Source organism: Homo sapiens, chromosome 5 (genome assembly GCF_000001405.40).
Source record: "Homo sapiens chromosome 5, GRCh38.p14 Primary Assembly".
In the NCBI taxonomy this organism is placed as follows: Eukaryota; Metazoa; Chordata; class Mammalia; order Primates; family Hominidae; genus Homo; species Homo sapiens.
Window position 1 is genome coordinate 65793776 of NC_000005.10, and position 25768 is coordinate 65819543.

Sequence of the window (25768 nt, forward strand, 5' to 3'; positions counted from 1 at the left end):
TTTTAGATTCATAGAAAACTTGCAAAGATGATATAAGGATTGCCTGTATACCCCTCAGCCTCTCACCCCTACTTGTAACATCTTCCATTCCAATAGCACATTTGTCATAGCTAAGAAGCCAGCATTGATACAGTACTCCAGACTGAACACCACAGTTTATTTGGATTTTACTAGTTTTCCTTAATGGTCTTTATACAGAGAATCTTCTTAAATCCATACGGTGTCCTCACTGAATATAAATAGAAGAAATTTTTGTATTTTTCAAGTGATAATGCTTGGATATGACTATGCAGTAAGACATAATGAAGTATGCTGGAGGTTTGCACTGTATGGAAGTAACCCTGAATGGAGCAGCAGCAAGTGCAAACTGATGGAAGTGGTTTATGTTGTCAGCTCAGGTCCTAGAACAGTGCTGACAATGGTGGCATGAGGTTCCAAAATGATGAACACCTCCTGGGAAACTTCAAAAGAAAGTAATCTCACTTCAACTTACACAGTAGATCCTAGTACTTGTAGTCTTAGAAATTAAAATGGTGTAAAAAATGCTTCGCAAGGCTAGGCATGGCAGCTCACACCCACAACCCCAGCACTTTGGGAGGCCAAGGGCGGCAGATCGCCTGAGCTCAGGAGTTCAAGACCAGCAACATTGTGAAACCCAGTCTCTACAAAAGATACAAAAATTAGCCAGGTATGATGACACACACCTGTAGTCCCAGCTACTCAGAAGGCTGAGGCAGGAGGATTGCCTGAGCCCAGGAGGTCGAGGCTGCGGTGAGCTGTGATCGCGCCACTGCTCTCCAGCCTGGGTGAAAAAGTGAGACCCGGTCTCAAAAGAAAAAAAAAATGCTTTGCAAAAATATGTACAGTGGGGTTAGTTTCTCGGTTTAGTTACAGCTAGTTTTTTTGATTTATGTGAATAGTCCAGCAGGGGGTATGAATGACGAGCAGGATATGGAACAGTCTTTTTGTTGTCCTGACATGTGCAGAATCAGTCCTGTGCATCCAGCATCCCTATATCCCAGAGTAGCCCTAATCATTGTAATAACCCAAAATGTACCCATTCATTTCCAAAATAATTCTGTCACCTTTGTTTAAAAACTGGTTCTTTCAACATTTTATCTTTAACCTGGTGCTTCCATCTTTTGTTTTAAAAAACAGAGGGGAATAGTATATGAGTATGTCCAGAGAAATGTCCTGATATGGCCATTTTTAATCTCTCTTTAATCCAAGGAAAATAAATCTTTCAGAATAATCTTTCTTTCTTAGGTGTTTTTAAAATTCATTTTCATAGCACTGACTGGGCGTGGTGGTTCATGCCTGTAATCCCAGCACTTTGGGAGGCCGAGGCAGGAGGATTGCTTTGACCCTAGGGGTTCAAGACCAGGCTGGGCAACATGGTGAAAACCCATCTCTACCAAAAATAAAAAAAATTAGCTGGGTGCGGTAGTGTGGCTAGGCTTTGCAAGGCTAGGCATGGCAGCTCACACCCATAACCCCAGCACTTTGGGAGGCTGAAGGGGGAGGATGGTTTGAGCCTGGAAGGTGGAAGTTGCAGTGAGCTGAGAGTGTGCCATTGCACTCCAGCCTGGGCAATAGGGCCAGAGCCTGTCTCAAAAAATAAATAAGATAGGCCAGGCATGGTGGCTCACACCTGTAATCCAAGCACTTTGCGAGGCCCAGGCAAGTGGGTCACCTGAGGGCAGGAGTTCGAGACTAGCCTGGCCAACATGGCAAAACCCCATCTCAACTAAAAATACAAAAATTAGCCGGGCATAGTGGCACATGCCTGTAATCCCAGCTACTCAGGAGGCTGAGGCAGGAGAATCGCTTGAACCCAGGAGGCAGAAACTGCAGTGAACCAAGATCGTGCCACTGCACTCCAGCCAGGGTGACAGAGTGAGACTCTGTCTCAAAATAAATAAATAAATAAAGTCTATTATCATAGCACTAGGATTCCTGAAATATTTATCGTGTGGACCTTCTATCAATGTCCACACTGTGGTTGACATTTCCTTTAATTAGGATAACTCCAGTTTACATTTAAAAAAATTTTTTGTAATTTAGAAGTCAAAAATATTTTTCTTAATTTTAGACTTATGGTATATTACTTATATTATCCAAAATCCAGTTATATGTTTGTACATAGATTAATAATGACCTGCTTTTAAAATAGTGGATGCTCACATTTTTGGATCTGAGGACCCTATGAAAATCTGATTTATGCTGTGGGTACCTCTTGTAGAAAAATACACCTACAAATATGCATGAAATTCCAAAAGGCTCACAGACCCCTCGAAGCCCTCACCATAATGAATCTCAAGTTAAGAACTCCTGAGTTATAGCAGTTTCCTTCTTATTTGATGATTTCACAAGGAAGCATTTTGGTCTTTTAATCACATTTATTAAGATAATAGTGATCTTCAAATAGGGTTTTCAGTGCTCTTGATGCATGTTCGTTTTTCAGGCACAGTCCTCTTATCAACTTATTATCATATGCTTACCATGTATTCCATCAGTTCTCCACAACTCATTCCATTGTTCCCATTATTTCTTACATTAATTGTGATCTTTTGAGATAGTCACTTTAGTACTAGAAAGATCTTTTCTTGGTACTCTGACATTTTAGAGCTGTCTGACTCGTGACTGAACTATTAATATATATATTGCATTCACCAGCTTAGTGTTTCTCTCTTGAAACAGTAGACATATTCAGTTCTTAAAGTTTTGCCTAACCTCATCCATGAGCACAAATGTGTCATACTGATGAATAATGTGTTGGTACAATTCTTTACTTGGTCATATCTTCATGAGATTATCTTTGAAAAATCTCTTCTTGTCTATTAATCCTTTCAGATAGCCTGTAATATTTTAAGAACTTTTAAGGTCATCACAAGTGATCACTACTTTTGTTTTTCATAGGCACCGATCCATATATTTGCAAATTTATAATTTCAAAGCCTTTTGTACTGACCTAAAATGGATGATAGTGAAAACAGAGATTGACAACTTCTATGTTCACTAATACTTCCAGCTTACCTAAGAAACATATAGTGAATTAAAAATTTGCCATATGTATTCAGTACATTGGTTTTAAGAAATGGCAGCTCAGTGTTTGAGCTCTCCACTGTGGCAGTTGGCAGGTTTCATGACTAGAAGGGCTCGTTTGAGCTTGTCATCGTAATATTTAAACATGTTGGCAAGAACATCCCGTTTTCAAACATGTAGATGCACTAGTTCAATATGTCTGCTATCTCTTCATTCAGGACGTGAGTTTCACTCGTATTACGTTTACAGGGTAGGTAGGTAATTTTGAAGATAGCAATCAAGAGGTGATATCTGTAGTATCTGTTCCTGTTGCATGGCTTTATTGTGGTTTGAGCTGTCAGTAATCACTAGCCTTTGAACTTCTGTAGAATAGTAATGCCTCTTAGCCTCCATTGTGATGTCTGTGTTGTGTTGTACATTAAGAGCGGTGATGAATTTTGAACTGTAAAGATGTCGTTATTCTAAGGAAACACATAAGAATTACACTAAAGCCTTCTTAATTAAACGTGAAAGGGATGGGCAGAAGAACTTCAAATTGTGTGACATGAAATCATTAATTTGGTTAAAAACTAATAAATAAAGCAGCTTGTCTGCTCTAAATATTTGGATTAGATTCTGCTGTAGATAAATGTACCCTGTATTAGTCAGGAAGGCACCCTGGTGTTATGACAAGAGCACTGGATCAAACATCATTTGTGTATCTGTGGACCTGGCTGTATGACTTGGGGACAGTTATTTAAACTCTTTGAACCATCTCATTTTTCTTATTCAGAAAATGGGGACAACAGCAATTCTATGTACTTCCCTGGACGATTGGGAGAATTAAACCAAGCATATGTGAAAAGGCATTTGGAAAAGCATAAGGAGCCATATGTACGTGAAGTATTCTTGAAACTATGCTTATGTATAATTCAACTCTTTTGAGATCAATATACAACTCAAAACTAGAAAGGGGGTAAAAAAGACCATCTGCCCTGAGACAATTTACTGCCACTTGAGGTTCAACAGAATTCACAAATGCTTACCTTCAGTGGGTTTTGAGTGAAGATCTGTGGAAGGTGATTGGAAACCCTCACGTTTGTATTTGGTTCTGTTTTGTTTTCATGATTGCTGCCTACTTAGAATTTGATACCTGAAACAGTAACAGAAAGAGCAGCTTGGAGTATTGGGAGTGATGGAGGATTAGCTGAAGAGCAATGTGGGTATGTTTATCTCCAGTATTAACCCCCAGGAAGCGAAAGACAAGCGAAAGACAAGGTTAGACCAGCCAAGACCATACCTAGTCAGGCAGAATATGCAGGCTCAGAAGAAGATAGGCAGCTGAGACTTACTGAACATGTACCAGGTGCCAGGAAATATACACACTGCTTTACATTCATTCATTTTTATCTTCACAGTACGCTCTGAAGTAGATGGGTACTGTTATTGTCCCCATTTTCCAAATGAAAAATCTGAGACATAGAAGGACCTGCCCAGGGTCCAATAGTCATGACCTAACTGCTCTACTTTATTGCGTATTTGCGCTCCCATTCCATGCACTGGAGACAATACTATTATTCATGGTCTGAATTTGGTCTTCCAAATGTGTTGGATGGGCTTCCTTCTCCTAAGTTTATTAAATGACACTCTAATAATGTAGAATGAATGCAAATGTGGAATGAATGCATTTATTTATTTCTAGGTTTCCCTCTGTGTGAGTTGACTGTTGAGGTTTCAGTCCTAAAATGCAGTGAACTCCCTATCATCAGCTTTGTGGCCTCTGCTGTCACCCTGTCTCCCTAGCCCCAACTCCTGCACACTGTTTTAGTTTGTGACTTTAACATCAGATGTAATTTCTTTCAAGATCTTCTTTTTGTTATTTTATTTGTTTGCTTATACATATATAAACAATACATACATGTGTAAATAAAATAAATGAAGTCATAAACCAAAATATGAATGTATTAATGCATAATGTTTATTTGGGAATGTGCTTATTTCTTTCATTTGCTTAGTGCATTTTCTACATGTATTATTTTTTAAAAATCAAAATATTTTTTAAAGAGAGGGATGTTTAGTTTTTTGTTTGTTTGTTTTTGGAGACAGGGTCTCACTCTGTCACTCAGGCTGGAGTGCAGTGGCACAATCATGGCTCACTGTAGCCTCCACCTCTCCAGGCTCAGTTGATCCTCCCACCTCAGCTTCCTAAGTAGCTGGGACCACAGGCATGTACCACTACACCAGGGTAATTTTTGTATTTTTTGTAGAGATAGGGTTTCACCATGTTGCCCAGGCTGATCTTGAATTCCTGGGCTCAAGCAATCTGCCCAAGTCAGCCTCCCAAAATGCTGGGATTACAGGTGTGAGCCACCATGCCCAGCCTATATAGTTATTTTAAGAAACAGAATTATTGACTATGTGTCTGACATGTCATATTACCTATGGTAGGATGGGGTTCAAAAGAAAGAAAAGTTATAGTATCTTGAATGTTCAGAATTTAGCTTGAGGACATGAAGTGCAACAAATAAAAAATTAAAAGCATAATATTAAGTAAAATAATAAAAGTAGAATTTTAAGTATTGAAAAAAAGTAGAGAGGTGAGAGGTTGAGGTCAAGAATGATAACAAGGGAAAATATCTTTGAGTTGTTTAAGTTTGAATCTTCATACAGAAATATTCTCCCCAGGGCTTCATCCATTTCACAGATATTTATTGGACATCCTCTACTTTCTGTGCTGGATTTTGGAAATACAGTGGTGAATAAAGCATACTCTCTAGCATTTGAGTTTGAATAGTACCTTTATTTGTTTTCATCTTAAAAAGAAGCAGTTTAAATAAGATGTACCTGATCAGGAAGGTACAGCTAGTTTGGGAGCAAGCCTGTGAACTTAATATGCAGTATTCAAAACTTCTCCAAATTATGTTATTTCCTGGGTCCTTTAAAGGATGATGGTGATACTGAACTGTTGAACTATAGGGCAGTTGTGAAGATAAAGAAGGATGTCAACACATTATCTTTATTACTATTATTTCCAGTGATCACTCGGTATGTGTGAAGTTAAAACTATGGCCTTTTAATCATCTGTTTATGGCAAAGTCTAGTAGATAGTGGTCACTTTAAAAAAAAAATACCTTGCCTTGTTATATAAACTTCTCCATCATCCCTGGATTTAGGGATAGATTAGACAGGCCAGGATGTGGAATGACTGCTAAGAAATCAGTACTGGATCACCTCAGACAGCCAATGTCAGGTCTCCTGAGGCCTGTCCTTTTTCATGAGCACAATACACTTATTGATTTCAGCAACTGCCTTTTCTTTGAGTTGGGATTTGCTATCATGGAAATAACACTTAGTTGTAGCCATTAAAAGCAACTGTTCTCTTAATTAGAACAGTCACATGTAAGATTTAGGCCTTTAAATACAGCAGAAGCTCATAGGACTTCCGAAGCTTCAATTTATATGATTCTGTTCCTGTTCTTATTGCACTGTAGGAATTGCAAAGTTAATCTCTATAGCATCAAGTTATCTGTTGTAAAAATCTGAAACAGAGTACATTTTAGACATCCTATTGTTTGTTTAAAAGATAGTAAAGACAGCCAGGCATGGTGGCTCATGCCTATAATCCCAGCACTTTGGGAGGCAGAGGCGGGCAGATCACGAGGTCAGGAGATCGAGACCATCCTGGCTAACACGGTGAAACCCCATCTCTACTAAAAATACAAAAAATTAGCTGGACATGGTGGCGGGCGCCTGTAGCCCCAGCTACTCGGGAGGCAGGAGAATGGCGTGAACCCAGGAGGCGGAGCTTGCAGTGAGCTGAGATTCTGCCACTGCACTCTAGCTTGGATAGTGAAGAAAACTCTCTTATTTATTTATTTATTTATTTATTTATTTATTTATTTTGAGGCAGGGTCTCACTCTGTTGCCCAGGCTGGAGTGCAGTGGCATGATCATGGCTCACTGCAGCCTCAGCCTCCACCTTCCAGGCTCAAGCGATCCTCCCATCTCAGACTCCTGAGTAGCTGAGACTACAGGAATGCACCACCATGCCCAGCTAATTTTTTTATAGTTTTTGTAGAGATGGGGTTTCACAATGTTGCCCAGGCTGATCTTGAACTCCTGAGCTCAATCAATTCTCCTGCTTCTACGTCTCAAAGTGCTGGAATTACAGGCATGAGCCACTGTGCCTGGCCAAAATCGTGTATTTAGACAACTGTCTTCCTCTCAAGAACTTCTAACCAAACAGGAATCTAAGTTTACATTGTTTTCTAGGCTTTTGTTATCTAAATATTTCCTGCAGCAAAAAAAATGCCCTAAAACTCTTTGAAGTGTCAGCTACAAAAAATATTTGTTAATTGGATTATTTTGTGTGTTTTTTACTGCTTTATCTGGGAAATACATTAGCATCAATAGTTATCATGGCCCATAAGCAACTATTACCAACACCTTCAAATTGTTTGCATTGATAACTATATGAAGTACTTTTTTAGGGTTCTTTGGATTATAGTTTAAAAACTGGGGAATGGTATTTGTTGGCTGGTCAACAGTGAGTAATGGTTCAGCACCCATGCTGTTTTGTATAAGATCCATTAGGCTGCTAGATTGTGAGTCTTACCCATGGTTTCTGTGTGGACATACACAGTGGCTGACTGCATTCCTTTCTCTTGAGAATTCGGTTGTTTGCTGCAAATTGAGCTTTCAAATTTTGTAGGTTCTTTGTCCTCCTTTTTTGAAAAATATTTAAATGATGTTGCCCAAAGGGCTCACAGAGAAACAGCATGACCAACTTTCGGGAAATTAGTAAGCACTAGGGTTATTTTTAGCTTTTTCTCCTTACAAACATTTCCTTTTGTTCTTTAGAAGACATTGTTGATCTTTCATTCATTTGCTGTGCTGTCTCCCCAGCTACAAAATGGCTTTTGAATAGAATAAGCGCTCTCTTCTCTACTCTGCATGACATTAACTGTGTTCTTATTTTATTCAGTTTTTACTCTAGCTCATGAATTATCATTTGTGTATTTTTTTTCTGGATATTGAATCCTCCCCTACACACACAAACACACATACACACATTTTTGTTGTCATTTGGGGTTGACTTCCTCCCTCATATGCAACTAATGACTGAAAAATCTTCATACAAGCAGGATATACAAAGTCTGTATTTTTGTCAGTATATCATATGGTGGTGGCTGATGGTGTGATTTGGCCTTTATTTGCTGTTAGTACCTATTTAAAAACCATCACCTTGAGAAAATTGTGCAGTAGTGTCACGGGATCCTTGGGGTGTCGCATCACCAGCCAGAAACCTCTGTGACCAGTGGTACCTTTGCCCAGGTTTTGCTTGGGCCCACTGGGCCCACTCAGCCTGGCAGGCTGCACTCAGCTCGCACTACTGGCCTGGATCCCATGCCTGCCAAGGGCAAGTGGAGTGGCAAGGGGTGCATGAGTGAGCAAGCATGGGGTCCAGCCACTGCACACAGCCAGGCATGCTGGCTATGGCGGTGCAAGCAGCTCCAGGTGCCAGCACAGGCGCTGGAGGCAAGGCTGCCTGCAAGGCTGCAGCCGGACCAGGCGTACCACAAGCAGCTTTCACAGCTGGCACTGGGGAACACAGTGGCACCCAGAAGCTTAGAGACGCTGGGAACCACATAGCCCCAAAGAAGGTATCACAGCCCTAGCTCAGGGAGCTCCTAGGTCTGGGTTCCCTGAAGGGCCACAACTCTTCTCTCCTTGTTGCCCACAGCATGGCGAGCAAGGGGCATGTTTCAGCCCTGTTTGTGTTATAGCCCTTTAGGCCCCACCATTCGGCAGGTCCCGAGTTCCTGTCCCGTGCCCAGGAAGAAGGAGGTATACGAACAAGTGGAGGGTGAGCAAGGCAAAGAGGAGCTTTACTGAGCAATAGAACAGCTTAGAGGAGACGCACAATGGGTAGCTCCTCTCCACAACCAGGGTGTACCAATGTGAGTGTTCAGCTATCAGCAGAGAGTAGACCCTGGAGTGGATAGCTCCTCTCCACAGGTAGGTCATCCTGTAGAGGGTTCAGCTCTCAGCAGAGAAGAGACCCTGGGGTGGGTAGTTCCTCTCCGCAGCTGGTTTGTCCCACCATCTTTTCAACTTTCAGTATAGAGGAGACCCTGGGATATGTAGCTCCTCTTTACAGCTGATCGTCCCGATGTCTGCTCAGCTGTCAGCAGAGAGGAGACCCTGGAGTGGGTAGCTCCTCTCTGCAGCTGGTTGTCCTGACATCAGCTCAAGTCTGGCTGAGTCCAGTGTTTTTATGGGCTTCAGAGGGGAGAACGTGCAGGCTGATTGGCTTATGGGTGGGCCTGGCAAAAGCACCATAAGTTCCCACTCTGGTCTGCAGGACTGGCAGCCTGGCCCCCAGGCTTCAGGCCTTCCCTGGCTTGAAGGTGGGGCTTCACCAGGGACCCACCCCTTTCTGCCCAGGAACCTGTCTGCCTGCTACCACTGTTTATGGTGCCCAGGCTGTTCATGCAGAGGGGCACCTGCAGGCCAGTGCCAAGCCACGCTCAGTTCCCCCCTCAGCTTCCCTCCCATGCTCGTCAGTGCCCAAAGTTCAGTAGGGGCTGAGGCAGCAAGGGGCTGGCATGTCAGTGCTGTCCTGAGCATATGGACACCTGGCCAGGTTGTGACAGTGCCTGGGATTGACCTCAGCTTTGCTCCAAGATCAGAGCAGGTGCCGCTAATGGGTTGGGGGAGCTTCCGGGGCCCCTGAGAGTACAGAGATGCCTGGGTCCGCAGCCATGGCTGGGTAGCTGTAGCTACACCCAGGAGGGTGGGGCTCCTGCCTTCTTCCAGCCCCTAAGAGTACAGGGATGCCCAGGTCTGCATCTATGGCTTAGGAAACCGCAGCTGTGCCCAGGAGGGTAGGGCTCCTGCCTGCTCCTGGCCCCCAAGAGCACAGGCATACCTGGGTCAGCAGCCACAGCTTGGGCAGCTGCAGCTATGCCCAGGAGGGTGAGGCTCTTGCCCTGCCAACTTAGAAGGGGGAAGGACTTTTCTGCCTGTTCCTGGCTCCTGCCAGCTCCATGGAGCGCACAGCCCCAGCCACGCTTCCCCCACTGCAGCCGAGATGGGCCACCACTGCCATCAGTAGTATTGCAGAATCGCAAGTTCAGGATAGATGGTTACAAAGGCTGGTCTTTACACTTCAGCTTCATGTTTGATCTTTGAAAAATCTTCCAGTATAAAGAAGAAGTCAAATTTCTAAGGAAGCACACTGAAAACTCACTTTAACTCTTCACATAAAGGAGGGTTTGATATAAGACTTTTGTATTTTAGATCCCATCCAAGAGGATTTAGTCATTTTGTAATATCATTTAACCTTTTTTTTCCATTTTACTCTAAGATACGGAGACAGTTAGCATTTGTGGTTAAGATTGTGGGTTATGAAGTCAGACTGCCTGGTTTCAAATTGAAGTTACATCATTAATCTCTGTATGCTTTAGTTTCCTTATCTCAAAAAGGGAGATAATAGTTACTTCATACAATTATTTTGGGATTTAAATCAGATAATCCATGTAAAGAGCCCATGATATGAGCACACCTCATTTTATTGTCCTTCACTTATTGTACTTCACAGATATTTTGTTTTTTACAAATTGAAGGTTTATGTCAACCATGCTTTAAACAAGTGTGTTAGTGCTGTTTTTCCAACAGCATGTGCTTACTTCTTGTCTCTGTTCACGTTTTGGGATTCTCACAATATTTCACTTTTTTCTTTGTTTTTGATGGAGTCACACCCTGTTGCTCAGGTTGGAGTCCAGTGGTGCAGTCTCAGCTCACTGCAACCTCCACCTCCTGGGTTCAAGCAATCTCCTGTCTCAGCCTCCTAAGTAGCTGGGATTACAGGCACATACCACCACACCCAGCTAATTTTTTTTTGTATTTTTAGTAGACATGGGTTCACCGTGTGGGCCAAGCTGATCTTGATCTCCTGGCCTCAAATGATCTGCCTACCTCGGCCTTCTGAAGTTCTGGGATTACAGATGTGAGCTACCACACCCGGACAATTTTTTCATTGTTATTGTGTCTGTTATGGTGATCTGTGATCAGTGATTTCCTTTTTTATGAAATAGAGACAGGGTCTTGCCATGTTGCCCAGGCAAGTCTGTCAGTGCAATTTTTCCAACAGAATGTGCTCCCTTCATGTCTCTATGTCACATTTTTGTAATTCTCACAGTATTTCAGACTTTTCCATTATTTTTATATCTGTTATTGTGACCAGCAATCTTTGATATTACTATTGCAATTGTTTTGAGGCAACACAAATCATGCTCTTTATAAGAGAGTGAACTTAATTGATGAATGTTATATGTATACTGACTGCTCCACCGGCCATTTCCCATTTCTCACCCCCTCTTTTGGCCTCCTATCTGAGACTCAACAATGTTGAAATTAGATTAGTCAATAACCCTACAATGATCTGTAAGTGTTCAAGTGAAAGGAAGAGTCATAAGTCTTTTGCTTTAAATCAAAAGCTAGAAATGATCAAACTTCACGAGGGAGGCATGTCAAAAGATGAGATAGGCCTCTTGTGCCAGTCAGTCAAGTTATGAAACAAAGGAAAAAGTTCCTGAAAGTTATTACAAGTGCTACTCCAATGAACACACAAATAATAAGAAAGCAAAATAGACTTGTTGCTGAGTGGAGAAAGTTTTAGTGGTCTGGGTAGAAGATGAAACCAGCTACAACATTCCCTTAAGACAAAGTCTAATCCAGAGCAAGACCCTAACTCCCATTCTATGAAGCTGAGAGAAGTGAGGAAGCTGCAGAAGAAAAGTTGGAAGGTAGCAGAGGTTGGTTCATGAGTTTTAAAGAAAGAAGCTGTTTCCATAACATAAAAGTGCAAGGTGAAGCAGCAATTGCTGATTTAGAAGCTGTGGCAAGTTATCCAGAAGATCTAGTTAAGATCATTGATGAATGTGGCTACACTAAATGACAGATCTTCCATGTAGATGAAATAGCCTTCTATTGGTAGAAGATGCCGTCTAGGACTTTCAGGAATGCTAGAGAGATGTCAATGCCTGGCTTGAAAGCTTCAAGGGACAGGCTGACTCTCCTCTTAGGAGTTAATGCAGCTGGTGACTTGAAGTTGAAGCCAATGCTTATTTACCATTCTGAAAATTCTAGAGCCCTTAAGAATTATGCTGAATCCACTCTGCCTGTGCCCTATAAATGAAACAACAAAGCCTGGATGACAACACATCTGTTTACAGCATGGTTTACTGACTATTTTAAGCCACTGTTGAGATCTACTACTCAAAAAAAAAAGATTCCTTTCAAAATATTACCACTCCTTGACAAAGCACCTGGTCAGACAAGAGCTTGGATGGAGATGTTCCAGAAGATTATGTTGTTTTCATGCCTGCTAACACAACAGCCATTCTGCTGTCCATGGATCGAGGAGTAATTTCAACTTTCAAGTCTTATTATTATGAGAAATACATTTCATAAGACTACAGCTGCCATATATAGTAATTTCTCTGAGGGATCTTGGCAAAGTACATTGACAACCTTCTGGAAAGGATTCACCATTCCAAATGCCATTAAGAACATGCATGATTCATGGGAAGAGATCAAAATATCAACATTAACAGAAATTTGTAAGAAATTGATTTCAACCCTCATAGATGACTTTGAGGAAGGGGTTCAAGACCTCAGTGGAGGAAGGAGCTGCAGATATGGTAGAAACAGCAGGACAACTAAAATTAGAAGTGGAGCCTGAAGATGTGACTGAATTGCTGCAATCTCATGATAAAACTTAAAGAGATGAGGAGTTGCTTCTTAAGGATGAGCAACAGAAGTGACTTCTTTATATGCAATCTACTCCTGGTGAAGATGCTATGAATATCGTTGAAATGACTGACCACGAAGGATTTTAGAATATTACATAAACTTAGTTGGTAGAGCAGTGGCAGGTATTGAGATAATTGACTCCAATTTTGAAAGACATTCTGTTGTGGGTGAAATGCTATCTAACAGCATCGCATGCTACCAAGAAATCTTTCATGAAAGGAAGATTCAGTCCATTGATATGGCAAACTGCATCTTTGTCTTATTTTAAGAAATAGCGGCTGGCTGCGTTGGCTCCCACCTGTAATCCCAGCACTCTGGGAGGCCGAGGTGGGTGGATCACCTGCGGTCAGGAGTTTGAGACCAGCCTGGCCAACATGGTGAAACCCCATCTCTACTAAAAATACAAAAAGTAGCCGGGCATGATGGTGCCCACCTGTAGTCCCAGCTACTAGGGAAGGTAAGGCGGGAGGATCGCTTGAACCCGGGAGGCAGAGGTTACAGTGAGCTGAGATCATACCACTGCACTCCAACCTGGGCAACAGAGCAAGACCCTGTCTCAAAAAAAAAAAAAGAAAGAAAGAAAAGAAAAAAAGGAAGAAGGAAATTGCCACAGCCATGCCAACCTTCCATAATTACACCCTGATCAGTTAGCACCCTGATTATAACTACCACCATGATCAGTCAGCAGCCATCAACATTGATGGAGGCAAGACCCTCCACCAGCAAAAAAGATTATAGCTTGCCAAAGGCTCAGATGATCATTAGCATTTTTTAACATATAAGGTGTATACATTGTCTTTGTGGGTGTTTTTGGTTTTGATTTTTTTTTTTTCTTTTTTTGAGACAGAGTCTCACTCTGTTGCCCAGGCTGGAATGCACTGGTGCTATCTTGGCTCACTGCAACCTCCACCTCCCAAGTTCAAGCAATTCTCCTGCCTCAGCCTCCTGAGTAGCTGGGATTACAGGTGCCCGCCACCATGCCTGGCTAATTTTTGTATTTTTAGTAGAGACAGAGTTTCATCATGTTGGCCAGGCTGGCTCGAACTCCTGACCTCAGGTGATCCACCCACCTCCGCCTCCCAGAGTGCTGGGATTACAGGCGTGAGTCACCGCACCAGCCATGTACATTGTTTTTTAGACAATTCTTTTGAACAGTTAATAGACTAGAGTATAATGTAAATTTATAGACTTTCATCTGCACTGGGAAATCAAAAAGTTTGTGTGGCTTACTTTATTGTGATATTCACTTCATTGCAGTGGTCTGGAACTAAACCCACAATATCTGTAAGGTATGCCTGTAATGCCTAACATAGGAAAGTCTCAACAGATGTTAGCTATTATTATTGTATAAGATTGTTTTATTTATGATATAAGATGTAATCTTACACTATCATATACCATAATGAGATAAAATATTCAATTTCTGGGGACCCTTACCTCTTTCCCTGCAAGATTTTTTTTATTGGGATGTCCTCAATAGAGGTGGCTTAATTCCACAACTAGTGAATTTAGTTATCCTTGCCCCTTTAATATTTGCATCTCTTCATATCTAGAATCGGCACAATTATAATGAGAAATCAAGCAAAACATTTTTTTGCATAAAGAGAGGAAGGCAGAATGTGAGATGGCGTTGACATCTGTGCCTCTGCCCTGGGCCAAAAAGCAGAGTGGGTATTTGCTGCTGATTCGGCACCCCATCTGCTGCCTTCTCTGGTGGTTACATCCCTCTTCCCTTTCCCCTCCGTGTGGAGCCCCAGGGATGATGAAGTCAGGGAGAGAAGGATGGAATGTAATGCATCAGAGGAGAAAAACAGGACAGAGGTTCAGTGAAAGACAACGGAATGAGGAGCCCCATTCTGCAGATGACCCAGTAGGATAAATGCTGTCTTCTCTGCCAATGGCAGTTTTACAAGTGTTTGAAGGACTGTGTGAAGGTTAAAAAAACACTAGCCTGTTTTAGTGAATCTCTGTTTTTCTACTTGAGAGCTTTTCTGACGTCTGACTCAAGAATTTACTAAACTTGGTTTCATTAAACTCTTTTTAAACCTCTTTTGTTTTTTTAACTCTTAGCTCAGGCCTTCAGAATAGGTCGTTTGTTTTTACCAGGAGTGCTCCAACTTTTGAATACATCCGTTGTTTCTCTTTTCCTATAGCATATAACTCACTCCACTTGCCAATTAATTTACAAACCTAACTCCTACTAAAGCAGCTTCTTATTTTAAGGTAACATTGTCTACCCAATCTGAGAGGTAGAAATCTGACTTTCTACAACATGGTAATCTTAGAACCACTCATTTAAAGTTTAAAATGCAAAGCATCGCACACTCAAAGTCTATAATGTTGTGATTTAACTCTTTAATTAATTTTGGTTAAGACCTAAGTAGTTAAGACCTAAGCAATAGAGTGATGAGTGCCCCAGAAAGGCATGGATTGAGACCTAAGCAATAGAGTGATGAGTGCCCCAGAAAGGCATGGATTGAGTAAACAAAAGTAAGCAATTGGAAGGAGGAGCTAGGGAGAAATTGCTTGTTTAATGGATCTCTTCATTTTTAATGGAAAATTCTTTAAAAATACTTCTGCTTTCAAAGCTTAAGGCTTGTTTTTAGCTTAGACTGATTGTATTTTTCAGTTCTGGTTTTCTGATGATTGTTCCAACTTTGTCTACAATTCAAAGGAATGAAATTACTACTGTAATATAGAGTATTTGGGGGTTGTTTTTCACACTGTTCAGCTGCTGTGTTTTATTTTCACTTGACTATGAGGTTATTCTAACCCCTCATTCAGAGGAACAGTTGAGTCTGATTCTGCCTTAAGTTTTCGTGACTCTTAATAATTATTCATTGCATATGTACTTTCATTGAGTTCTTTAAAAAAATTCTCTGTGTTTGCTTTCTAGACTGATTTTGCACGATTTAGCGGAACAAATGTGGAAACTGACTTTGTAGAGGTGCCATCGCAAATGCTTGAAAATTGGGTGTGGGACGTCGATTCCCTCCGAAGATTGTCAAAACATTATAAAGATGGAAGCCCTATTGCAGACGATCTGCTTGAAAAACTTGTTGCTTCTAGGCTGGTCAACACAGGTATGACTTCTAATTTTAAAAAGGAAAATAAATTAGAATCTCTTAATGTAGAATTGCTGTCACCTTCTTCTGTAGAACTTATTTTCATTTTAAGTGGTATCCCAACCGTGCTAGCATGAGGAGTGAAGAACATTAAATATATTGGAATAGGAAACCCCGGAATTTTGTCTGAGGCAAAAAACCACATCTCCTTTTAAATCTTAAGTAGAATGAGATGTCCTGCTCCCATTTTGTGAGTACTACTGGAATCTGTTTTTGGAATCTACAATCTTGTGATAATAAAACACACAGTTCTGTCTTCTTCAAAACATGCCCAAACATTCTTATGTTATTAGGTCTTCTGACCCTGCGCCAGATTGTTTTGAGCAAAGTTGATCAGTCTCTTCATACCAACACATCGCTGGATGCTGCAAGTGAATATGCCAAATACTGCTCAGAAATATTAGGAGTTGCAGCTACTCCAGGTATGTAACTACTATGAATTGAGTTCATTTCTCTGTGAAGCACAGGGCGTTCTCCTAACACTGCAGGGGAGATGGAGTTTGTCAGACAGATTACCTAATTGTTTCTGATTTCTGTAATCAGGCCATGACTTTCAGATAAGCATACTATGTCCTTATGAGTTATCCCGTCCAAATGCGCTTGAAGGAAAGGTGGCTCCAGATCTGCAGCATTTTAGTGTAATCAGGCATGAGCAGTTGGCCTCCGCCCCAGAGCTGGGAGAGCCATTCGTGTTGGCAGCACACTCTCAGCTCCTCCCTCCCTGTATGCATCATGACTTCCCTGTGATTTTCAGGAAGAAATTGGCAGAAGGGGAACTTTTTAAGTTTTTTTTCCTTTACATATAGTATTTTGTTTATTTTTTCCATCCCCTCAAGCATTTATCCTTTGTGTTACATACAGTCCACTTGCACTCTTTTAGTTATTTTTAAATGTACAATTAAATTATTATTGACTATAGTCATCCTGTTATGCTATCAAGAAGGAGCATTTTCAGGCCTGGCATGGTGGCTCACACCTGTAATCCCAGCACTTTGGGAGGCTGAGGCAGGAAGATCACTTGAGCTCGGGAGTTCGAGACCAGCCTAGGCAACATGGCAAAACCCGTCTCTACCAAAATACAAAAATTAGCCAGGTGTGGTGGTGTATACCTACAGTCCTAGCTACCCAGGGGGCTGAGTTGAGAGGATCACCTGAGCCTGGGGAGGTTAAGCCTGCAGCGAGCCATGATTGCACCACTGCACTCCAGCCTGGGTGACACAGTGAGACCCTGTCTCAAAAAAAATAAAGGGTATTTGGGGGGAGAAGCATGAACTTCACCTTGTTTCTGATTCTGAGATCAGTTAAAGCATTTGACTAGCAGTTTGTAATCTGAGATTTATGGGACTCATGCATGGGCGTGTTTATATTTGTATGTGTATGTTTTAAGCCAATATATAGTTGTGCTTTTATATGTAGTTGGTAAGGTGGATTTTTTTTCACCAAGGAAATTGTTATTAAAATGAGTCAGCCACATTTATAGAGAGAATAAAGATAAGAATGGTCCGTTGAGTCATTCTAGGCTCCCCACATAGTAAGCCATAGTGCACCTTTGTGTCACAAGCCTTTGTGTCGCAATTACATTTTTAAATGTACAATTAAATTATTATTGACTATAGCCATCCTGTTATGCTATCAAGAAGGGACATTTTTAGGCCTGGCATGGTGGCTCACGCCTGTAATCCAGCATTTTGGGAGGCTGAGGCGGGAAGATCACTTGAGCTCAGGATTTTTGACAAAATCCTATATAAAGTAGCCCTACAGGTAGATTGAATTGGTGAAAAGTTCTTTTTCAGGCAAGGCACGGTGACTCACGCCTGTAATCCCAACACTTTGGGAGACCGAGGCAGGCAGATAGATCACTTGAGGTCAGAAGTTTGAGACCAGCCTGACCAAAGTGGTGAAACCCTGTATCTACTAAAAAATATGAAAATTAGCCGGCGTGGTGGCATGCACCTGTAATCCGAGCTACTCAGGAGGCTGAGGCAGGAGAATCCCTTGAACCTGGGATGCTGAGGTTGCATTGAGCCGAGATCTCACCACTGTACTCCAGCTTGGGCAACAGAGTGAAACTCTGTCTCAAAAAAAAGTTCTTTTTCAGTAATTATCAACCTAAAATAAGTGCAATTCTGAGACATTTTAGATATAAAGAGGTGTGGCAAAGAGTAGGGTTAATATTATTTTTCAAAACACATACATGTTTAAGAGATAAGAAAGGACTGATTTCAGTTCTAAAACACTGAGCTATCTGGTGGGTGTGGACAAAGCCGCTGAAACTATCCTTAGGCATTCCAGAGCTTGGGGCCGAAACCAGCTCTGAGGTTGAGCCATTGATAGATGTTTATAAACATCTTGGCCAAGAGGACACATCAGCCCAAGGAGTACTAGAGGTGAGATCATGTCATTCATTCTCTCCTCCCACAGCTGGCCTCCTCAGAGGGAAACCTTAGCTAGCTGTTAACCTGATCATTAACGTTTGCTATCACATTGATTGAAATGTATCTTTTTTTAAAGGCACAAATATGCCAGCTACCTTTGGACATTTGGCAGGGGGATACGATGGCCAATATTATGGATATCTTTGGAGTGAAGTATTTTCCATGGATATGTTTTACAGCTGTTTTAAAAAAGAAGGGATAATGAATCCAGAGGTATAGTATTATTTTTCTCCTTTTATTAATTTTGTAGTTGCTCCCTCCCCTTTAACTCCTAGTGTAAAATATTGGTCACATCTAGATTTTACTGTAAGAGGCTTGGTAACAGCTTTTACCTCTGAGGCCCTGCATCTTTCAAATCATCATACATCATTAAGTTGCAGTATACAAGTGATTAATTCTATAGTTTAAAAAAAACTAGTATATTTTCTTGCTTATTAACATTCTGATATATTACATAATTAAAAATTCAAAGCTTTGTTTATGGATTTGAGAATCTGTAGCTGCTAGTTTTGACATGTACCATACAACATTTTAGTTTTATAGGAGGTTGGGAAAGAAAGGTAAACTCCTTCCTGATGTAAATGGTTTCCCTGTGTTTTGATATTCTCTACACACTTTGTGCACTTTCTGTGGGAGACGCCCTTTTTCTGTGGCTGGCATGCCCCACCCACTACATAGTTTGTGACCTTTGTCACAAAGTTGCTTCGTTAACCTGAGCCATTACTTTCTGTATGCAGTGAATTGACTGCCAGGTAGCTGCCAGACAAACCTTCCTGATTTACAGCCCCCAATCTCCATTCTCATTGAAGTCTCATCCATCAGATTATTTCCAAGGCTGATGCATTTTCCAATGTATGTTTTTAAATTCTTCGATTCAGAAATTAGAAGAACAAATTATCAAAATCAGGCTCTCTGTACTGATTTCAACCAATAGATTTTTTTCTCCAAATGTTTTTTCTAGATTGCATAGTACCTTATACATATGTATTGAAATACATTGATGTGATTTAGATCACCATTCCCTCCCCATCTTCCTCCTGAAATAACACCTCCAAGGTACCCATACTTCATTATTTTGAAGCATTTCATCTCCCATCCCACCCCACCCAATCTGTTAAGTCCTTGTAATTCTTTTTCCATTACCTGGCCAACCCATTTACAAAGGTCAACTGCTGACTATTGTTCTCACAGACATACCTATTCCTGCATGACCTTCAACCAGGACCCATCCCTTAATGCCTCCACCATAGAGATAGTGCCCTTAGGATTCAAAGTGTTCTGGGGAAGATTGTATGACTCCACTGACATGCCCAACTGCAAAGTCATGCATGTAGCCTGAACTGGACCCCAGTGTTCTCTGTGGTCCAACTCCATTCCCCTTATTGATTTCCCTCCAAGTTCCCACCACCTCTCTCATCTGTCAGCAGATGATCTCTCCTCTTTATTAAGAAAATTAAGATCATTGAAGCTGGCTGCAGTGGCTCACACCTGTAATCCCAGAACTTTGGGAGGCTGAGGTGGGAGGATCGCTCAAGTCCAGGAATTTGAAACCAACCTATTTGATATAGCAAGACCTCATCTCTACAAAAAATAAACAGAATTAGCCAGGTGTGGTGGTAGAAGCCTATAGCCCCAGCTACTCTGGAAGCTGAGATGGGAGAGTTGCTTGAGCCTAGGAGAGGTGGAAGCTGCAGTGAGCCGAGATCATGCTACTACACTCCAGCCTGAATGACAGAGTGAGATTATCTCAAAAAAAAAAAAATCATTGAGAATGAGTACCTTCATCTTTCTTTCTGTGTACTTCAATACTTGTCTTATTTTCTCCTGTCTCAGAGGAGATGTCTCTAGCTCCAGGAGTTCCTGGTAAGAGTTCCTGGTTTGCTGTCTTGGAAAAAAAACTTGCTACTGACTCTGATAACCCCAATCAGTGCTACTACTCTGTTCTTTTCACAGCCTAATTTCTTGGTATAAGAAGTCTTTGCAAACCTCTCTTTCCTTGCTTTTGCCCCAACCAACAGAAATGGAAAGTTACCCTTCCTCCGTAGTTACCACTGATGACCCAGTTACCAACTCCAAAGGCCCTCGTCCTTCTTCTTTACCTCCTGCTGCTTGTTATTCCTCTGTCTGTTCACAGCCCTCAGCTGGGCAATCAAACCCTTCTTTACTTCCCAGTACTCCCTGTGTGTTAGACAAGTTTATGTGTTCCCTTAGGTCTCTCCACCTTCACAAATTTATTCGTTCTATTTCGTTCACCTAAAATATATGCCTCCTTCATCTGTGCATCTCAAAAATTCCAGCAGTCTTAATTGAAGGTCTCACTCACATAACTGCATGTTCAAGAAGTCTTTGAAATTATCCAAAACCAAAAGTGATCTTTACATCCTTTGAACATATGAGTGGACTTGGAGGAGTGGACCAAGCCTTCCCCGTCACCTCCTCAGTGCTGCCACTATGTGACCACATACCCAGTACCTTCTCTCATTACCTTTTCTCTTCTCTTTTGGAGAACTGTCCCCAAAACAAATAGAAATTAAAAATCCAAAGATAAAAATAAAAAATGGAAAATAGACTAGTTTTTAAAGAAAAAAGACAAAAAAAAGTGGTCTTGAGCATGGAAGAAGGGCTTCAATAAGCTTTTACTATGTCTGCAATATTTAATGTAACTATTACCAAGTGAAAAAACATCATATTATAAAATATTTTATACCATACAATACGAATGTTGATTTTAAAGTGTGTTTTAAAAAAAAGTACATCAAAATGTCAATGATTATCTTTGGGGATAAGTTTATGAGTGATTATTAATTTTTTCTGTATTTTTCCTAGAGCTTTTCCTTATTTTTACATAGTACATAGATTATTTTAGAAGCCAGAAACAATGTTTCAAAGAGAAAAAAGTCTAACTAGGTAAAGGTACAATTATGACGTCTTACTGGCAATCATTGGTGAGGCTTCCTGGCATAAGTGTACACTGCCTCTCCCAGCCAAGCTTCGCCATCACCTCCTCTGTGCTTGCCCTTATGTGACCATATACCCAGAACCCTCTATCATTACCTTTTCTCTTCCAGCTGTCAAGGTAGCAGCCAAATTACTGATCCCTGTGGTTCCAAGGAACTTGCAAGTGTAATAGAAGCAATTCCTGCATTGTCTTCTCTATACTTCCTCTTATTCTCAGGCTTCACAGTTTGGCAGGCAGCCATACTACTCTTATTTAGACAAAGGTGCTGGGTTGAACTTAGAGAAAGCATCATCCCAACAACTTGGAGTTAAAACTTGTGATGTTGAAAACAATTTTCAGTGTTACTAAAATTCTGGATTCAGCAGTGCTGTTATTATTAGATGTCTTATGCCATAAGGCTGGTGTTAATTCCTTCCTTTACACTTTTTCCTTTCCTTTCAAATGCTCTGAGTATCATGGCACTTCCTGATCCTCTGCTGTCACAGCAATAATGGACCTGGCTCCAAAAGCCAAGAAGAATCCCTTGGCCCCTCACCCTCACACCCTTTGCAGATACTAAAAGATGATTTTTAAACAAACATTTTGTTCCCTCCTACAATATACTATTTGGGGTTTTTTGTTGGTGGCGGCGGGGGATGTTCTTCAAAAAAAAACCCACAAATATTTGCTCTAAAATAACACTTGCCTTACAAAATACAGGTACCCAGTTATTAAAAATTAATGCTTTGGGACAACAATCCTAGTCTCCAAAAAACTTAGATCATTATTATAGCTATGTGTGATGAAGAGAAAAAGAAATTCTTTTGTTGTCCCAAAGCATTAATTTTTGGTAACTGGGTACTTGTATTTTCTAATGTGAGTGTTACTTTAGAGCGAACATTTATTTTAAAAAGAAAAGAGGAAGAAGAACTCCCCCCACAAAAACAATGTATACCACGGAATACAGTGCAGCCAAGAAAAAGAACAAGATCTGAACCCAGAAGGCAGAGGTTGCAGTGAGCCAAGATTGCACCATTGCACTCCAGCCTGGGCAACAAGAGTGAAACTCATCTCAAAAAAAAAATAAAAAGAACAAGATCATGTCCTTTGTAGGGACATGGATGGAGCTGGAGGCCATTACCTTTAGCAAACTAACACAGGAATCAAAAACCAAATACCACATGTTCTCACTTAAAAGTGGGAGCTAAATGATGCGAACACATGGACACGTAGAGGAGAACAGCACACACTGGGGCCTTTTGGAGAAGGTGAAAGATGGGAGGAAGGAGAGGATCAGGAAAAGTAACTAATCGGTACTAGCTTTAATACCTGGATAATGAAATAATCTGTATGGCAAACCCATGTGACACAAGTTTACCTATGTAACAAACCTGTACTCGTACCCCGAACGTAAAAGTTAAAAAAAAAAAAAAGAAACAGAAAAATACTTCTTCAGACCAGTACACCATACATTACTTATTTTGTGCCACAACCACAGAGTGTTATTAGCCAACACTGAGAAAGATGGCATTATCTTGAGTTGTTCCAAACTCGGTGCATTTGCTTTAGTTTCACATGTCAGTGAGTGGTGGCTTCAGATACATAGACAGGATAAAAATATGAATTTTTATGATATAAAGGAATACTTCATTTGATCTGAAGTCATGGGAAGCAGACAAATCAAAATATATCCTGCAGACTTTGTTGTCTCACCCTCCCTAATGTGTGTGTGGGTCATTTTGAGAAGGTAGCGGGATGGCCCTTCAAAGCGTCAGTGCCTTCTATTGTTAGTCCCCAGGCACTAGAGAGGCTGGGAGCTAAGAAACCACATGTTGTTGATGTTATTGGTTATGCAATAGAGAAGACTGTGTCCAGGCCTTCCTTCTCTCTGTAACCTCCTGCCATCCTACAAACCCCAGGGTCTGCTCTGGGGACCATTTCAGATCTTGGCAAGCAGAACTATAGAAAGTAGCAGTAGAATATTTTAGGGTATAGTTTTCATTCTGTTTTGAGGGCCTCTATCAAAGTATAATAACTGACTGCTTACCTATAATAGCCTAAAACTTTGCTACCTCTGGTTTTATCTGTAGTTTTTTAAATATTGTTCTTCATAGTAAATAGACATCACATCGTAACTGTTTAATTACTTTGTTATATATTACCTAAAGTACTTTTTTCTCAGTGAACATGAAGTTGTCTCATTGTCAGACATACTTTTCACTTTTCTAACTGTTCTGCTAAATAATTATGGAATGGAACTGCTTGGGATTAATGCTTTTCCAGGAAGCTCTCAAAGGTCTTTAAGGTCACCAAATGTGAATTCAGAATCCAGCAGCTAATCATAGGTTGAAATAATGGGGGCATTTTAACCAAGGCCATTTCTTTTTATAAGGCAACTTCATTGTGGGAAAATTTTCTAAGAGGTAATAGACATTGTGAATTCAAAGGCAATTATATTGTTAAGCTACTATTATCTTCCTCCTCTTTTGCATTTGAAGAAATTGCTAAGCTTTGTTTCTTCCATCAGAGGAGAAGAAATATGAACAAGTATCACTTCTGAAAGAAATACTGAGAAATTCAAGAGAGTTAAGTGTAACTATATTTCAGTCTGTAATGCCATAAGGAAGGAGCTACATCTTACATAAAATAATAGCCACAAAAACATGAAGAGTCTTGGTTAAACATGACAAAGAATCACTTGATAGAGAATCTATAATATAAAGCTAAGGATCCCAGTGCTTGAAACAGAATCTTAGGCCCAATTCTTCCTGTAATGTGTTGCTAAAAGAGAATATGAAATTTCCTCTCCAGAAGGTTTTTACAAATGGCTTTAATTCTCTTCTCTGTCTCAGCTCTCCTGATGTACCACCCAACAGCTGATTTTTCTTATAACTGAACCTTTTCTAGTAGCCTCAGGTTTCGCCTGACTTGAGGGACAAAGGAAGGAATTCGAATTGATTTCCAACCTACTTCTTGAATATTTACAAGGCCAGGCCTTCTAAATCTTGAATCCCAACCAGCTGGAAGCAGTTCATCTTCCTTTGGGCTCTTACAGCCCTTCTTTGTTTGCTCTTAGTACCCCAATAATCTGCCTGGTTAGTTGTCTATTTCTTTATCTTCCCTGATAGATCATAAGACTCGTGTAAAAGGAACTATTTTATTCAGCGTTGGGTTCCCTTCTCTGCTTCACAACTATTTAATTTAATTAATGTTTTACATATTTGTGCCTCTTTGGACCTGACGGTTTTCTCCATCCGCTTCCACTTCTCTACCCCCCCATACATACTCCTACCCAGTGTGTTTTTTCCTTTGGATCTCCTCCCTCCCCAGAAATAAAGGTTTACCCTTCTATCCTCACAAATCAGTAAGGTTTCCAGAAGACCTCTTCTAATCAGGCAACAATTCCTACTACTATTCTTGTCTCCATCTCTCAGTCAGCACCAGTTTTTTTCTCTCCCTCCTTTGTTGTTGTCAAAGCAATTCTATTTTTAATTTTTGTCCATTCAAGATCTCCCCACCCTCACAGAAAACAAAGGGTGTGCTCTTGGGAGGGAGTTATGGACTATGGAAGGAGAGGTTTCAAAGTCCAGCTTTAGAGCAGGCTGGTGAGCTTGTCAGGTGCCTGATCGTCATCCCCCGTCCTTGGCTGGTCGCTCTCTGCCCTGATGACTGCCGCTCAGTGTAGGAAGGAGACAGCTCTGGCTGCCCTCCCCAGAGTCATCCATGCTGGGAAGGATGGAGGAGGGGTGGAAAGTTAGTGAGAGCCTGCATGTGCTGCTGCAGAGATGCCCAAGATAGCAGGAGACCCAATCTGTTTCCCATTTATATATTCTCATTGCTGATAGATGATGGACATCCTTCATTTAGGTAATTATTATTGCTATTAAAATATTACCTGAAAGGGTGCATATTATTGAGCAAAATGAGTGCCTAAGTGCCTTATCTCTCCCACTTAATATTTCTACTGAATTATGTATTCTATTTCTTACTAATAGAGAAAATGAAGTTCCTTATGCCTTTCTTTAGCTTTATTAGGAGATAGAACTAATTTTGAGGAAGTGCTACACCAGGAATGCATTTGTTTCCCTGAACTGTATATAAGTAACTGAGCTGGGGCAGTGTGAAAGGAAAGAGAGGAGAGGGGAGGAGGAAAGGAGATGGGAGGAGGAGAGGTTTGTTGATTACCACTCTATGCCAGATATTATGCTAGAGAGCAAACAGAATACTGAAATCACCTCCTCCAACTGCCCAGAAACTGAGTGAGGTAGGCATATTCCCATTTGACAGATGAGGAAATCAAGGCCCCAGGTCACATAGCTAAGGATTGAGCCAAGATTCAAACCCGGGCCTGAGTCTAGAGTTCCTGATCTTGCTTCAGAAATTGTCACTGTTAGAGAAGACTTGCATAGCTGCCAAAAGATACATGC

General features: G+C 40.9%; 1 protein-coding gene across 5 annotated transcripts in view; it reads left to right on the plus strand.

Moving 5' to 3' along the window:
- Positions 1–25768, plus strand: part of NLN (neurolysin) — a 107079-nt gene that overhangs the window by 71571 nt on the left and 9740 nt on the right. For 4 of the 5 annotated variants that reach the window (NM_020726.5, XM_005248559.4, XM_047417444.1 and 1 more), the window contains exons 10-12: positions 15740–15926; positions 16262–16390; positions 18480–18616. In NM_020726.5, the coding sequence (NP_065777.1) occupies positions 15740–15926; positions 16262–16390; positions 18480–18616 (453 nt within the window). Of the gene's footprint in view, positions 1–3817; positions 3919–15739; positions 15927–16261; positions 16391–18479; positions 18617–25768 lie in introns of those variants that run through there. The other variant, XM_047417445.1, reaches the window with a different exon arrangement.